This window comes from Homo sapiens, chromosome 4 (assembly GCF_000001405.40).
Source record: "Homo sapiens chromosome 4, GRCh38.p14 Primary Assembly".
In the NCBI taxonomy this organism is placed as follows: Eukaryota; Metazoa; Chordata; class Mammalia; order Primates; family Hominidae; genus Homo; species Homo sapiens.
The window spans coordinates 177,616,712-177,632,947 of NC_000004.12; the positions used below are offsets into that span (position 1 = coordinate 177,616,712).

General features: G+C 38.4%; 1 long non-coding RNA gene across 14 annotated transcripts in view; it reads left to right on the forward strand.

Annotated features, from left to right (window-relative positions):
- The window catches only part of AGA-DT (AGA divergent transcript), a 255,397-nt gene that overhangs the window by 174,198 nt on the left and 64,963 nt on the right, over positions 1-16,236 (forward strand). For 11 of the 14 annotated variants that reach the window (NR_183786.1, NR_183777.1, NR_183778.1 and 8 more), the window contains one exon: positions 6,948-7,091. The exons of 2 other annotated variants lie outside the window; for them this stretch is intronic. This is a non-coding gene — a long non-coding RNA (AGA divergent transcript). Of the gene's footprint in view, positions 1-6,947; positions 8,008-16,236 lie in introns of those variants that run through there. One more of the 14 variants, NR_183790.1, reaches the window with a different exon arrangement.

Genomic DNA, 16,236 nt, shown 5'->3' on the forward strand with positions numbered 1-16,236 from the left:
CAACTCTCCTCAATGGCTACTAAACCTTTCAAATAACAGGTAGTGTGGTGGCAATTGTGGTGATAGTGGTGGTCTTAGGGGTGAAATTTGATTGCCTGATGATAATTGAAAGACAGTCCACCTCCCTTTTTGAAGCATCAATTTCTAAGAGATGATTCATGAAAGACCTTCGTAGAGAGTGAGGGATTGAAATCTGATTGTCTGCTGAAGCTTGGAGCAAGGGGTGGAGGGGGAGACTGAGTTCAGGAACAGACTTACAGAATCAAGACCATATTCAGATTCAGGCCTAGGGTATAGATACACTGCTTGAACAGATTCTACTGTTTGCTGAAAGGGTGCAGCAGTCTAGCTGTCCTGGACCCTTATTTTGACAACCACAGGAGGCAGGGCTGAGACATGACTGGTAATTCTCTTGGCAATTTCAAGTGCCTTGCCACAGTCACCCCTCACAATGGCAGGTTATGTGTTTTTGCTAATACTTTTTTCTGTTTTTCCCTTGAATTTCTTCAGATTTCTTAAATGCATTTAATCTGATCCTGGTACTTTGTCTTCTATCTGTTTTACCCATTCAAACTCTTCTTCCCTGTGACATTTCATAAGAGGTGAATTTTAGCAATAGAATGAGTATAAAATGACCCTTGGAAACTGGAACCACAATAATAAAATAACTATCTGAGGTTCACTAAGAATAAATATTCCTGGGAAAGAAAAACAAACTGCAATAGGAAAATAAGCAAACAACAAAAAACTCCAAATGAGAAATGAATGTGAATAAATTACTACCTATGGAAGTGAAAATAAGATGAAATTCAAAAGCTGAATTTGACCCTAGTGTTTGCTCCAACTCTAAAAACAAGCATGAAATTACAATCAATAGAATAGGGACCAGCATTCCTAAGGCGGGTATTAGAATCCAACATGAGAAGAATGCAGAGGATGTAAGAGGCTTAATAAGAATATCATCATGGTGTTTGAAGGATTCCATCAATTTGGAATAGTTTACCTGTGAACAGATGATTGAGAAAAGGCTTCTAGGAACTTAAAATCTATTCTGGAAAATAAAACAGTTATAGAATAGTGCCAGACCATGGGCAATGATTTCTAAATTGTGAGGTTTAGACTAATGATTGTGTGTCATTTTGGAGAACAAGTCCTATGAGTTGGACAAAGTATAGATATTTACTTAGAAGAGGTTGAATTTGGGCCGGGCGCGGTTGCTCATGCCTGTAATCCCAGCACATTGCGACGCCGAGGCAGATGGATCACGAGGTCAGGAGTTCAAGACCAGCCTGGCCAAGATGGTGAAATCCCGACTCTACTAAAAATACAAAAATTAGCCGGTTGTGGTGGTGGGTGCCTATAATCCCAGCTACTCGGGAGGCTGAGGCAGAGAATTGCTTGAACCCGGGAGGCGGAGGTTGCAGTGAGCCGAGATTGAGCCACTGCACTCCAGCCTGGGTGACAGAGCGAGACTCCGTCTCAAAAAAAAAAAAAAAAGAAGAGGTGGAATTTAATCTGACTTTTTAAGGGTTTTACGATTTAGATGAGCCTGGATACTGGGGCATATTGGGATATTTCACATGAGAAATAGGAAAAGCAAATTTACATATATTTAATTTGGCATAATGGATGGCCATGATGTAGGGTGTTTTCCATGAAAACTTTTTTTGGTATTGTTTAAATGCCATCATAGGTAAAGGCAAGAATAAAAAAATTCGTTTATGTCTCACTTGCTTCACTCTTATTTTTATCAGGATTTTGGTGACCCCGGGTGAAGAACTATATTTCACATGCTATTTTATATTTGTTTGAAAATAATTATTAATAAAATACATAGCCATAAAAATATTCAAAATTCATGTATAGATTATTAGCTTTTTTTAAGTGAAGTAAGGGTGGTGTTTTAAACAATTATTAATATCTTGACTTATTGTAGATTCTTTTTTTTAATTAAGAAACTCACCAGACACTTTAATACTATGCCCTAACTAGGTCCCTTATGTCTCTGAATTGCTTGTACTGTGAGAGGAATCACTTAATACAAGCTTATTAGACAACCGAGTAGCTTGGAAATCCCCCGCTAGACCTTTCAATAAGGTTTAATCAACCAGGTAAGACCCTGATGAGGCTGGCAATTAGACTTACTGTATTTTTTAAATGGAGATGCTGAGTTTCAAAATATTAAAATGCTGTTTAAACACAGTGATGACAAAATTGGAGGTGCTATTGCAGCCACAAATCCAAATCCCTGCCCCCAACCCCCACCGCCACCCTTCAACCCTGTGATTCATTACAGCACTTTGTTGAATTAACAAGTATTAATTTACCTCTGAATTGCTACTAGGAATTTAGCCTGATTCAGTATTGCCATTTGAATGGAGAAAATAGTTGCAGTACTAATAGGTATTGCACTGGAAATAATTAAACTGAGTTTTTTTAACTCTCCATATCTCTGAACTGAATGAGCATTTCTACTTTAGTTTTCTCTTAAAAAAATACACACATATACTTATATATGTGTATATACAAATGTACAAATAGAAATATATGTATATACGTGATAATATATGGGCATAGTAAAAAAATTCAAAATGTGTAAGAGGTTATATTATTAAATATAGTTTATCTCTTCATTCACCAGGTTTTTAAGTTGCTAATGTAAGGACAAATAAAAATTGAAGTTAGAAGCTTAATTCCCCTCTTAAAAGCAAGAGAATGTCTCCCTTACCTTTTCTTAGAGCGTTTACTTTAGGAAACTTGTAATTATGTCATTTCTTGGTCTCTGAAATGTATGGAAAAATTTTTTAAAGCTAAATAAGCTTCTGACCAGCTTTACAATGCAGAAATGTCTTTCTCAAGGACCAGGAATCACCTCTTTTAAATTTAATTATTAAGCAAAAAAGCACCCCACCTCCCAGTTTCTGTGGGAGGGTAGGAGCCTAACTCCACTGAACATCTCACTCCAAGTTGCAAAACTACCTCTTGTCATAAAGACGAGTTTACTTCTCAATTGGATAAATCCAATTAAGTCACACAAATGATCATCCCAAATATCGAGTGAATTTAGGATGAATTACATGTGACAAATGGTGCTGTCAAGTCCTCTAACTTGAGGACTTGGCTATATAAACGGGTGAGGTTTCCTTCTGTTTTTGCAATCCCTTAGCAGATTTTGTGGAATGCACATCACATTCTGGTTTAATGCTCATTCGACGATAAAATTGTCTTCTTTCTCTTCTACCTATATAGCAAGTTTTTCTGGGTTGGTAGGAGATTTTGTTTTTAATACTATTTCCCCCAACACAAAACAGACACCACTCTGGTTCTTAACAGAGAAAAGGGATGAATTTTAGGTATCTAAGATACCTAAAGGATTCTCCAAGATGATTGGAGAGTCTGAATTGGAAACTAACATAATATGACCATTAAATCTGGACAGGCAAGCTTTGTAGCTTGAAATACAAAGTGAGAAATCGCCTAAATGTAGGGATAATTTTCAAACACATTGGACAGCCAAAAATATCTAGTATCCACTACATCCTTCCAGCCCTGTCCCTCGTCTTTATTATTCTCAAATGTCACTATTATTAGTTATGTAATACATTCATGCACCATATAACATTGACATACCACGTATATGAGATGGTCCAATAAGATTATAATGGAGTTGAGAAATCCCTATTGCCTAGTGATGTCCTAGCTATCCTAATATCTTAGCACAATGCAGTCATCACTCATGTATTTGTGGTGATGCTTGTGTAAACAAGCCATTTGCATAAAAAGTATAGCACACACATTATGTACAGTACATAATACTTGATAATGATACTGGTTTATGTATTTACTATACTATACTTTTTATTGTTATTTTAAAGTGCACTCTCCTGAGTATTAAACAACTGAACTGTAAAATAGTCTCGGGCAGATCCTTCAGGAGTGCTATAGTTTTGATGTTTGTTCTCTCCCAATCTCACCTTGAAAATTTATTCCCAACGTTGGAGGTGGGGCCTAATGGGAAACGTTTGAATTCGGGTCATGGGGACGGGTCACGGGAGTGAGTGAGTTCGCAGCCTATTAGTTCCCATGAGAGTTGGTTGTTAAAAAGAGACTGACAGCCAGGCACGGTGGCTCATGCCTGTAATCCCAGCACTTTGGGAGGCCGAGGGGGGCGGATCATGAGGTCAAGAGATCGAGACCATTCTAGCCAACATGGTGAACCCCGTCTCTACTAAAAGTACAAAAATTAGCTGGGTGTGGTTGCGCTCACCTGTAGTCCCAGCTACTCGGGAGGCTGAGGCAGGAGAATGGCTTGAACCCAGGAGGCGGAGGTTGCAGTGAGCCGAGATCGCGCCACTGCACTCTAGCCTGGCAACAGAGCGAGACTCCATCTCAAAAACAAACAAACAAAAAAAACAAACAAAAAAAAGAGACTGAGGCCTCCATACCTCCTCTCGCTTCCTCTCTCACCATATGATCTCTGCACACACCAGCTCCCTTTCGCCTTCCACTATGAGTGGAAGCAGGCTGATGCTGACGCCATGCCTCTTGCACAGCCTGCAGAACCACGAGCCAAATAAACCTCTTTTTTATAAATGACCCAGCCTCAGGTTTTTCTTTATAGCAACACAAAACAAAGACAAGGAGGTATTCCTTAAGAAGGCGTTAGTATCCTAGGAGATGACAGCTCCATGCTTCTTGTTGCCCCTGAAGACCTTCCAGTGGGACAAGATGTGGAGGTAAAGACAGTGATATTGATGATCCTGACCCTGTGTAGGCATAGGCTAATTTGTGTGTTTGTGTCTTTGTTTTTAACAAAGACATTTAAAAAGTGAAAAATTAAAACAAAAAATTTAAAAATAGAAAAAGCTTATAGAATAAGAATATAAAGAATAAAGAAAGAAAATATTTTGTATAGTGGTACAATGTGTTTGTTTTAAGCTTTGTTATTACAGGAGTCAAAAAGGTAAAACATTAAAAAGTTTATAAAGTAAAAAAGTTACAGTAAGATAAGTTTACTTTTTTATTAAAGAAATAAATTTTTGTTTTATAAATTAACTATAGCCTAAGTGTACAGTGTTTATAAATTCTACAGTAGTGTACAGTAATGTCCTAGGTTTTCACAGTCACTCACCACTTTCACTGACTCACCCAGAGCAACTTTCAGTCCCACAAGCTTCATTCATGGCAAGTGCCCTATACAGCTATACTATTTTTGTCTTTTATACTATATTTTTATTGTACCTTTTCTATGGTTAGTCAGGTTTAGGCTATGCAAATACTTACCATTTTGTTCCAGTTGCTGATAGTATTCATTATAGTAACAGGCTGTACAGGTTTGTAGCCTAGGAGCAATAGGCTATACCACACAGCCTAGGTGTGTAGTAGGCTGTACCAACTCAGTCCGTGTGAGTACAGCCTATGATAGTCACACTATGAGGAAAATGGCTAATGATGCCGTACTCAGAATGTATCCCCATCATTAAACAGTGTTTGACTGTACATCTAGATAAACTACGCTGTCCGGGTGCAGTGGCTCACGCCTGTAATCCCAGCACTTTGGGAGGCCAGGGTGGGTGGATCACGAGGACAGGAGATGGAGACCATCCTGGCTAACATGGTGAAACCCCATCTCTACTAAAAATACAAAAAATTAGCCGGGCGTGGTGGTGGACGCCTGTAGTCCTAGCTACTTGGGAGGCTGAGGCAAGAGAATGGCATGAACCTGAGAGGCGGAGCTTGCAGTGAGCTGAGATTGTGCCACTGCACTCCAGCCTCGGTGACAGAGCGAGACTCCATCAAAAAAAAAAAAAAAAAAAAAGATAAGCTACGCACATGCAGGCAGACAATATGAAAAATACACATTCTGTCTTGAATATTGTTTTCTTACATTTTTTTATTGAAGAATGATAAACATATATAAAAGTAGACAAAATATAAATGTACAATCCAAAGAACTATCAAAGCTAACACCAACATAATCACATCCCAGGTCAAGAAATAGAACATGGCCACATCCCCAAACTACTGCCCTGGCGCCTCTTGCAATAAGTCACTTCTCTCTCCTCGTTCCTGAGTTTTAATACCATAGATCATTTTTTTGTGTGTGCCTATTTCTGAAGTTTATATAACTGGAATTATATTCTTTTGTGTCTGGCTATTTTGGTTCAAAATTCTGTTGGTGAGATTATGTTTGTGAGTATAGCTGTCTGTAGTGCATTTTATTGCTCTATGGTATTTCATTAACGTCAGTGTCCCCCTGGTAATTTGCTCACTTCAATGTGGATGATTTCTGTTTTCAGTTTGAGGCTATAATACATTAAGCTGCTATGAATATTTTGAAAGTGTCTTTAGGTGCATACGTCCATGCAGTGCTGTTCAGTAGATGCTAGGAGTGGAATAGCTGGGTTATACATCAACTTTAGTAAGTACTGTTTTTGCAAAGTGATTGTACCAATTTGCATACCCATGAGCCCTGGATGAGAGTTCCTATTATTACTTAACATGCTCAACCAAAACGTAGTTGTAAGTCTTTCATAATTTTAGCCCTTATAATGCATGGTTAATAGTGTCTCATTGAGATTTTATTTCAAATTTGCCAGATTAATAATGAGGGTGAGTACCTTCCACATTAGTAGTTATTTGTATCCCTTTCTGTGAAAGGATATTCTTTTTGCCCATTTTATGATTGAGTTATGTGTCATTTCTTATTGATTTGAAGGGATTATTTATTCTAGATACAAATAATTTGCTGTTTATATGTGTTGCAAGTGTCTTTTCTTGTTACATGGTTTCATTTATATTCTCAGTGATGTCTTCTGATAAGTAGAATTTTAAAATGTTACTGTATTTGAATTATTAATCTTTTATGGGTATATCTATGTATTTATACACACACTCATTTAGGATTTAAGATTTGTAAACTTCTTTTCTTTCTGCCTTTGTTTTAGAAACAGGGTCTTGCTCTGTTGCCCTGGCTGGAGTGCAATGGTATGATCATAGCTCACAGTAGCCTTGAACTCCTGGGCCCAAGCCATCCTCCTACCTCAGCAACCAGAGTAGCTGGGATTACAGGCGAATGCCACCACACCTGGGTAATTTCTTTTTCTTTTTCTTCTTGTTTTTATTAGAGATAGGATCATGCTATGTTGCCCAAGCTGGTCTTGAACTTCTGGCCTCCAGCAGTCCTCCTGCCTGAGCCTCCCAAGTAGCTGGGATTACAGGCATGAGCCACCAGTCCTGGCAGATTTGTTAATTTCTTTGAATTATTATATATTTTTAAGTTTACTTCCATGTATTTGACTTTTTGTGTGCTTATAACTGGTATCTTTTTAAAATTTCATTTTGTAATTGTTGTTGCTGGTGTATAGAAATAAAAACAATTTTCATATATTGACCTTGTCACCAGCAAATTTTCTATATTTACTTATTAGTTGTAATGTGTTATCTGTAGATTCTGTTAGATTATTTGCATTCATTAGCATTGATTATGTAATGGTATACATTGGAGCTCATTTCATCTTAGTAAACACAAAGTTGGATAATTCTTTTTAATGGCTAGTGAGTATTTATATACTACAGGTCAGTGGCATGGTTAGTATGGAGACTGTAGGGTCAGACTTCTGGGTTTGACTTATGGTTCCACCAGTTATTATCTGAGTGACCCTATTAATGTCACCCACGTCCCTATGCTTCACTTTCCTTCAAGGAAGACTCATGCATATGTGTTGCTCTTACCAACACTGTTTCAGTGAATGCTCTTGAGTATGTTCCTTGTTTATATGTTGTGTATAAATGGGTGTGAAGTTCTATATTCAGATATTTCTCTGAAATGGTTGTACTAATTTACACTCGTATCAGCTGTTTGTAAGAGTTCATATTGCCTCACATTTTTGTCAGCACTTGGTAATGTCAACCTATGAAGGGTTTTGAATCAAAAAGATTTTGAAAATCTTGTCAAACTTAAACATTGGCAAATTAAAAAAATAATAAAACAATGTTTCACTTTTACGAGACTGACGCATTGCTGGCTGTGCTAAGAGGTCTACATAGCTCATTAATTTTATAATTAGCACTTTTATGGTTACTAATGAGTTTTGGAAACTTTCCATATCCTTGATAGACATTTTGCTTTCTGTGAATTGGCTATTCATTTTTTGCCTTTTTTTTTTTTTTTTTTTTTTTGAGACAGAGTCTCACTGTGTCACCCAGGCTGGAGTGCTATGGCACGATCTCGGCTCACTGCAACCTCTGCCTCCTGGGTTCAGGCAATTCTCCTGCTTCGGCCTCCCAAGTAGCTAAGGCTACAGGGGCCTGCCACCACGCCTGGCTAATTTATTTTGTATTTTTAGTAGAGATGGGGTTTCACTATGTTGGCCAGGTTGGTCTCGATCTCCTGACCTGGTGATCCGCCTGCCTCGGCCTCCCAAAGTGCTGGGATTACAGGCATGAGCCACTGTGCCTGGCCATTTTTTCTTATCAATTCAAAGGAATTCCTTCAACGTATTGATTACTTATTCTTTTTTGGTTACATAGATCGTAAATGTCTTTTTCAGTTTGTCATTTCTTCTTCTTCTTTTTTTTTGATGGGGTCTCACTCTGTCACCCAGGCTGGAGTGCAGTGGCGTTATCTTGGCTCACTGCAGCCTCCACCTTTCAGGCTTAGGTGCTGATCCTCCCACCTCAGCCTCCTGAGTAGCTGGGACCACCAAAAATACAATTTTTTTTGTATTTTTTGTAGAGACGGGGTTTCACCATGTTGCCCAGGCTGGTCTTGAACCCCTGGACTCAAATGATCCACCCATCTCAGCCACCCAAAGTGCCGGGATTACAGGTATGAGCCACTGCATCTGGCCCAGCTTATCATTTCTTTCCTACTTTGTGTATGCTGAACTTTGTTGTACAGAAATTGCTTAATATTGTGTATTATGTTTCGTTCATTTTCCTCTTGTATAAAAAATCCCTTCTCATCTTAAAATCAAAAGATAATCTTGCATACTCTATTCTCAAAACTTTTACAGAAATGCTTTTCACATATGTATCTTTAATGTACCTGGAGTTTGCTTTTGTGTATGGTTTGAAGTACGGACTTAATTTCATTCTGTTTATTTTCCATATGAATAACCAATTGTCCCAGAACAATGTATTGAAAAAGTCTTCATTTTCCCACTGATTTGCAAGCACTCTATCTTAGATCAGGTTTCCACAAATGCATGGCTACACTTCGGAGCACTTTCCGTTCCTTCTTATTTATCCTTGCACAAATTCCACATTATTACTAGTAGGATTTTGTAATACAGTTCTTAGGTATCAACCCCCCTCTCTCTCCACTATTATTCTTCTTTAGGAATATCTTGGCTCTTTTTGGACCTTGAAGTTTTCATTACTATAATTGTATTAGTCAGGGTTCTCTAGAGGGACAGAACTAACAGGCTAGATGTATATATGAGGGGGAGTTTATTAAGGAGTATTGACTCACACGATCACAAGGTGAAGTCCCACAATAGGCCGTCTGCAAGCTGAGGAGGAAGGAAGCCAGTCCGAGTCCCCAAACCTCAAAAGTAGAGAAGCCAACAGTGCAGCCTTCAGTCTGTGGCCAAAGGCCTGAGAGCCCCTGGCAAATCACTGGTGTAGGTCCAAGAGTGCAAAAGCTGAAGAACTTGGAGTCTGATGTTCAAGGGCCAGGAGCATTCAGCGCTGGAGAAAGATGAAGTCTGGAAAACTCAGCAAGTCTGCTCTTTCAACGTCTGCCTGCTTTATTCTAGCCACGCTGGCAGCTGATTAGATGACGCCCTCCAAGATTGAGGGTGGGTCTGTCCCTCACAGCCCACTGAATCAAATGTCAATCTCCTTTGGCAACACCCTCACAGACACACCCAGGAGCAATACTTTGCATCCTTCAATCCAATCAAGTTGACACTCAGTATTAACCATCACAATTACATTTTAGAATTTTAATAGGATTGTGCTAGTGGGTTGTCTCTGATTAGCTGTCTCTCAGAACAATTGTCCTTCCCCACCTGGGACCCCGTCCTCCTTGCTGCTTTAAAATGCAACCCTGGGGCGAGTCTAAGGGAATAGAGGGGCTTCACCCCATGGTGGGAATGGGAAAGAACGTCTGCTGGGGACATGTACTGCAATTTGTCTCAGGCAATCTGGCCAAGGGAAAAGGGATCCACTCACATCCACTGACAGACTCCAAGATGCACTTTCCAAAGGGGCATCCCCCCTATTAGAAAGGATCTCTCGGTGTTAGAACCTTACACTGAATGAACAGTGGGTGAGCAACCCCAGGTCAGTTCAGGTATGAATTATGTTGAGTGACCAATCCAGGTACGAGGATAAAAGGTTGCGGGAAGACTCACTGTCCTGGTGCAGTTTGAGATCACCTGACTTAAGACATCCAGAGCATGGTGGCTGGCTGTCTTCATAGGAGAATTTAGAGTGAGAAAGATGGGGTCTGAGTTCCCCAGAACATGTGTGGATTTGTCCTGTTTGAGCTTCTGCCTCCAGATGCATCACATGTAGGGACTGGGGACTTTTGACCAGAATAAGGAGGAGAGAACCTTCCTCCTTTCCGGGGAAGGCAGCCAAACCTGTTCATCCCCTGGCCATCAGGCTACACCAGGGAGTGGCCCTGGCCCATTGCCTTCAGTTGCCAGAGGGATACTAGAGATTGTCCACTGGACAACTGAAAGGAAAACTCTAAACTCTCACCCAATCAGGTGGTGGCAGTCAGCTGTCTTTCCACTAGGACATTCTGGCCCGCTGGGGAGTAGCCCCTGTCCGGGACCATCAGTTGTCTCCAGACTTGGACGCTGTCCGCTGAGAGGTTGCAGTTGGAAAAGAGGAAATGGGAAGAGTACGGGAGAGAGTACGTGGCTGGCTGGGGCCGGCGTTGCAGGGGGTAAAAGAATTTACTGACACAGTTGTGGGTAAAGAAAGGTAGATTTATTAGAGAAAGTACAAAGATACATCCAAGGGTGCAACAGGCAGCACAGCAGCGAAGGGGCTGTCTGCTAAAAGCGGCAGGGGCTGGAGGGTGGTGCTGAGGAGCTGTGTGTAGAACGAGGTTGTGCTGCTGGGCCTATGTGTGGAGCAAGGTATTTGGGAACAGGATTGTTGTACGAGTGGGTGGTTGTGATTAGCTGTCTCTTAGAGCAATTGTTCTTTCCAACCTCGGGCACGTCCTCCTTGGTTACTTATTTTATCAGGACTCCACGATTACCACAAATGGTCCCTCAAGCTACTTTGTAGTGATCTCCTCAACACTCTGCCCTGGGAACCACCCCATTTCAATCACCATGATTTAGTTTTGTCTGTTCTAGGACTTCACGTAATGGAGTATGGTATGGTTTCGTTTGCATCTGGCTTCTTTTTTAACTTTTAAGTTCAGGGGTACATGTGCAGGTTTGTTACATAGGTAAATGTGTGTCATGGGATTTGTTATTCAGATTATTTTATCCTATTAAGACTAGTATCCACTAGTTATTTTTCCTGATTGTCTCCCTCTTCCCACTTTCCACCCTTTTCTCTCTCTCTCTCTCTCTCTCTCTCTCTCTTTTTTGACACAGAGTCTTGCTCTGTTGCCCAAGCTGGGGTGCAGTGGCTCAATCTTCGCTCACTGCAACCTCCACCTTCCGGTGGAGGTTGAGGCACAAGCGATTCTTGTGCCTCAGCCTCCTGAGTACCTGGGATTACAGACACATGCCACCATGCCTGGCTAATTTTTGTATTTTTAGTAGAGAGGGGGTTTCACCACGTTGGCCAGGCTGGTCTTGAACTCCTGATCTCAGGTGGCCCACCCACCTCGGCCTCCCAAAGTGTTGGGATTACAGGCGTGAGCCACTGCCCCTGGCCTCCACCCTCCCCTTTAGCTCAGCATACTAGTTTTGTTCATTCATGTTCTATGCATCAGTAGTTTGTTACTTTTATTCCCAAGTAGCATTCTACTGTATGCGCATACGCAACTTTTATCCATTCTTCAGTTTATGGTCACTTGGGATGTTTTTAGTTCTGGGCTGTTACGAGTAAAACTGCTATGAACATTTGTATACATGTCTTTTTTTTTTTTTTTTTTTTTTGAAACAGAGTTTCGCTCCTGTCACCCAGGTTAGAGTGCAATGGCACAATCTCGGCTCACTGCAACCTCTGCCTCCCGGGTTCAAGCGATTCTCTTGCCTCAGCCTCCAGAGTAGCTGGGATTACAGGCATGCACCACCACGCCTGGCTAATTTTTTGTATTTTTAGTAGAGATGGGGTTTCTCCATGTTGGTCAAGCTGGTCTCGAACTCCCAACCTCAGGTGATCCGCCTGCCTCGACCTCCCAAAGTGCTGGGATTACCGGTGTGAGCCACCACGCCCCGTCCTACATGTCTTTTTTTTGTATACAAATGTTTTCACTTCTCTTGGGTAACACCAAGAAATGGAATAGCAAGATCTTATCCAAGTGTATGTTTAAATTTACAAGAAATTGCCAAAGTGTTTCTCCAACAGTTATAGCCTTTAACATACCCACACACAAAATATAAGAATTCCAGTTTCCTCACATCTTTTTATTTTTAGCCATTCAAGTGGGTGTGTAGTGGTACTCAAATATGGTTTTAATTGCATTCATTGAATAAAGAAAGATGTGTGTGTTTTCATGTGCTGATTTGTTATTCATATAGCTTCTTTGGTGAAGTGTTTGTATAAATCCTTTGCCCGTTTTTAATTGGATTGCTTGTCTTCCTATTATTGCGTTGTAAGAATTCTTATATGCTTGGTTCAAGACCTTGCTTAAATACATAAATATCTTTTCCAATATGCGTCTTGTTTTTCACTTACTAAAGGGCATATTTTGAAAAGTAGAAGTTTAAAAGTTAATGAAGTGAAATTTATTACTATTTTCCTTTTCTGGTTGGTGCTCTTTGTATTTTTTAGAAGACATGATTGCCTGACCCAAAGTTGCAATGAGTTTTTCACTTTTTAAAAGACATTTTATAGCTTTGGCTTTTATATTTGTCTCTGATTCATTTAAAATTAATTCTTAGGTGTGGTGAGATTCAATTAAGGTTTAACTAAAAAATATTCTTCAGTTGTTCCAGCAGCAGTCGCTGAAAAAGCTACCCTTTTCCTATTAAATTCTCTTAGCAGCATTGTTGAGAGTCAATGATGCTTTATGTGAGGGTCCCTCACATAAACGATGCTTTATTTGAATGCCCTGTCCTGCTCCATTGACCTATATTGTCTATCCTTATGCTAGTACTGTATTATCTTGATAGTGGTAATTTGTTTTTTTCTCTTTTTTTTCTTGGTTGTCCTGGCTAAGGCTTATCAGGTTTGCTGATCTTTCTAAATAGTAAACCTTTAATTGTTTCATTGATTTTTTTCTATTGTTTGCCCATTTTCTATTTCATTGATTTCTGCTCTTACTGCTTCCTTCCTCTACCTATTTTAGAATTAATTTGTTCTTTCATTTCTAGATATTTGTGTGTGTGTGTCTTTTGACTTTGGTCTTTCTTGTTTTCTAAAATAAAGCACTTAAGACTGTAAATTTCCCTTTAAGTCCTGATTTAGCTGCATTTTACAGGTTTGGCAGTGTGTTTTTATATTTCAAAATATTTTCTAATGTTCCTTCTTATGATTTGTTCTTTGGCCCATAATTATTTAAAGGTATGCTGCTTAACTTCCAAATGTTTTCTATATATTTTTGAAAAGAAATTGTCTAATTGTTTGCTTTAGCTTAACTTCCAAATGTTTCTATATATTTTTGAAAAGAAATTGTCTAATTGTTTGCTTTATATATATTTGTGTATATATAATTATCTCATCAGTTATTTATGTTCAAATATTTCATAATTTTTAAAAGAATTATAGAAAGAAATATCATGAAATATCCTTTCAACTACGATGTTGAATTTTCTGTTCACCTTGTAATTCTTTCATATTTTTCTCATGTATTTTGAGGTTATAGTATCTACCTGCTGATTGAGAAAAAAAAGTTATCATTGCATAATAACTATATTTCTTCCTCTTAATTATTGTGTACTACAATGTATTAGGTCTGATTAATATCTCCATACCAGATTTCATTTAGTTAATATTTACCTGGCATATATTGTTTCACATTACTAGTCTAAAAAAACGCACTCAATCTCTGCTTTTAAATTTAGTCCAATTTATGTATTTATATTCATTGTAAATGCTAGTATGTTTGCATTTATTTTTAATATTTAATTTTGATTTGCATCCACCCAACTGTTTTCTCTGTTTCTTTTTTTTTTCATTTTCTTCCCTATTTAGTATTGGAATACACAATACCAAAGAAAGCTTACTTCTTTAGAAATTGTATTTTCTGTTTTTCTGTTAGAGGTTAACCATAAAATTGTTGCATGTCTATTTGCCTTAAAAATTTCTAACATTAATGTATATGTCTACCCTCCCTATATTAAAAGAGTTTTAACTGCATTACCTCTGAAAACTTCTTTCTTGTCTCACAGGTAATTGATATAATATAATTGAATTTGTCTTTTTCTATGTTTACAAAAAACCCATTATTAATAATTTTTGTTTATACTGCTGCTGCTGTTATATAGTTAATACTTGTTAAAGTCTTATCTACCACTTCAGTAACTTCTTTGCTCACCATTCCTTTCTGTATTTCAGACGTTCTTTATAAGGTTCAAATTCCTTATACCTGAAATATATGCTTTATTACAAAGAATTCTTTTTTTTTCTTTTTTTTGAGACTGGGTCTTTCTCTGTCACCCAAGCTGGAGTGCAGTGGCAACATCTTGGCTCACTGCAGCCTCCACCTGGGCTCAAGTAATTCTTCCACCTCAGCCTCCCGAATAGTTGGGACCACAGGCGTGCACCACCATGCCTGGCTAATTTTTGTATTTTTTGTAGAGAAGGGGTTTTGTCATGTTGCCCAGGCTGATCTCGAACTCCTAAGCTCAGACGATCTGCCCGCCTCAGCCTCCCAAAGTGCTAGGATTACAAGCGTGAGCCACCACACTGGGCTGGAATTCTTTTATGGATAAGCACCAGTCTTTTATTTTTATTTTTTCTCTCTTAGTTTGAAAATACAGCCCTTTTGCTTAGCTGGGTATAGATATCGAACTGAACTTTTCTTTCTCAGTACATTCATTGTCTTTATATTTTGTTTTAGCTCTTTAGTAGTCTGCCCTTAATCTAAAAATCAGTCCTTTGAAAGTAGTTTGCCTTACCTATTAAGGTCCTCTGTTTTACTGTTTTTCTTCTTCTGGTTAATGTTTACCTAATTATCTGTGGATCTAAAAAATTTTACTTTTTATGGGATATTTTGTACTACTGAATCTAAGAATTATATATTTTTTCTATGTAAGGAAAATTCTCCAAGATAATACTTTTAAATATAAGTTTTTCCTCATTCTTTTTCAGTTTAAAAACTTTATATTAGCCATACATTCTATTTCCTATTTTAACTTACATATTGTACTCTCATATATTCCATGTCTGTTTATATTTTCTGCAAATTGTAAGTGATTTTTCTCTGATTAATATTCAAATTTACTGATTTTCTTTACAGCTTTATTTAATTGACTAGTTCACTCAGTTTTTGACTGCAATTACTAAATATCTTTTAATATTCAAATTTCTACTTTATTTACATGTATCTTTATTTTTATAGTCTACTAATCTGGGATTTTTATGTGTTTGATTAATTCTTTTATATTTTACTCATTTTGGAGTCACTGTATTATCTCTATATAATCAGATAGTCTATATCTGATAGTTCTACTGTCTGTACTTGAATATTTCTTTCTACTAGTTTTGGATCAGCTGGTTGAATTCTAGTTTTCCATATTCACACTCATGTTGTGTTGAAGTCTGAAGAGGGAGTTTAAGAGAGAGCTTTTTTTTTTGTTTTGGTTTGGTTTTGTTGTGTTTCAGTCTGTGCTTTTTGGTTGCTACAGGTATCTCAGCACCTCAGGCTGCATTTGCTGTTGATGTCTTGAGGTAGGAATTCCCAGATCATACTTGAAATTTAAGCTGCAGGCCCATTGTGCTTGTAAGTTTCCAGGAGATTTTTTTGGACCAAAGCCCAGGCTAAAATAGGCAAACAATGTTTGTGGGCATCCTCTATCAGTGGGAATATTTTTTTCTCTTTCACTCTTTTATTGTGTTTTCATCTAAATGATATGTGTGGTTGGCCAGGTGCAGTGGCTCAAGCCTTTAATCCCAGCACTTTGAGAAGCTGAGGCAAGAGGATTGCAA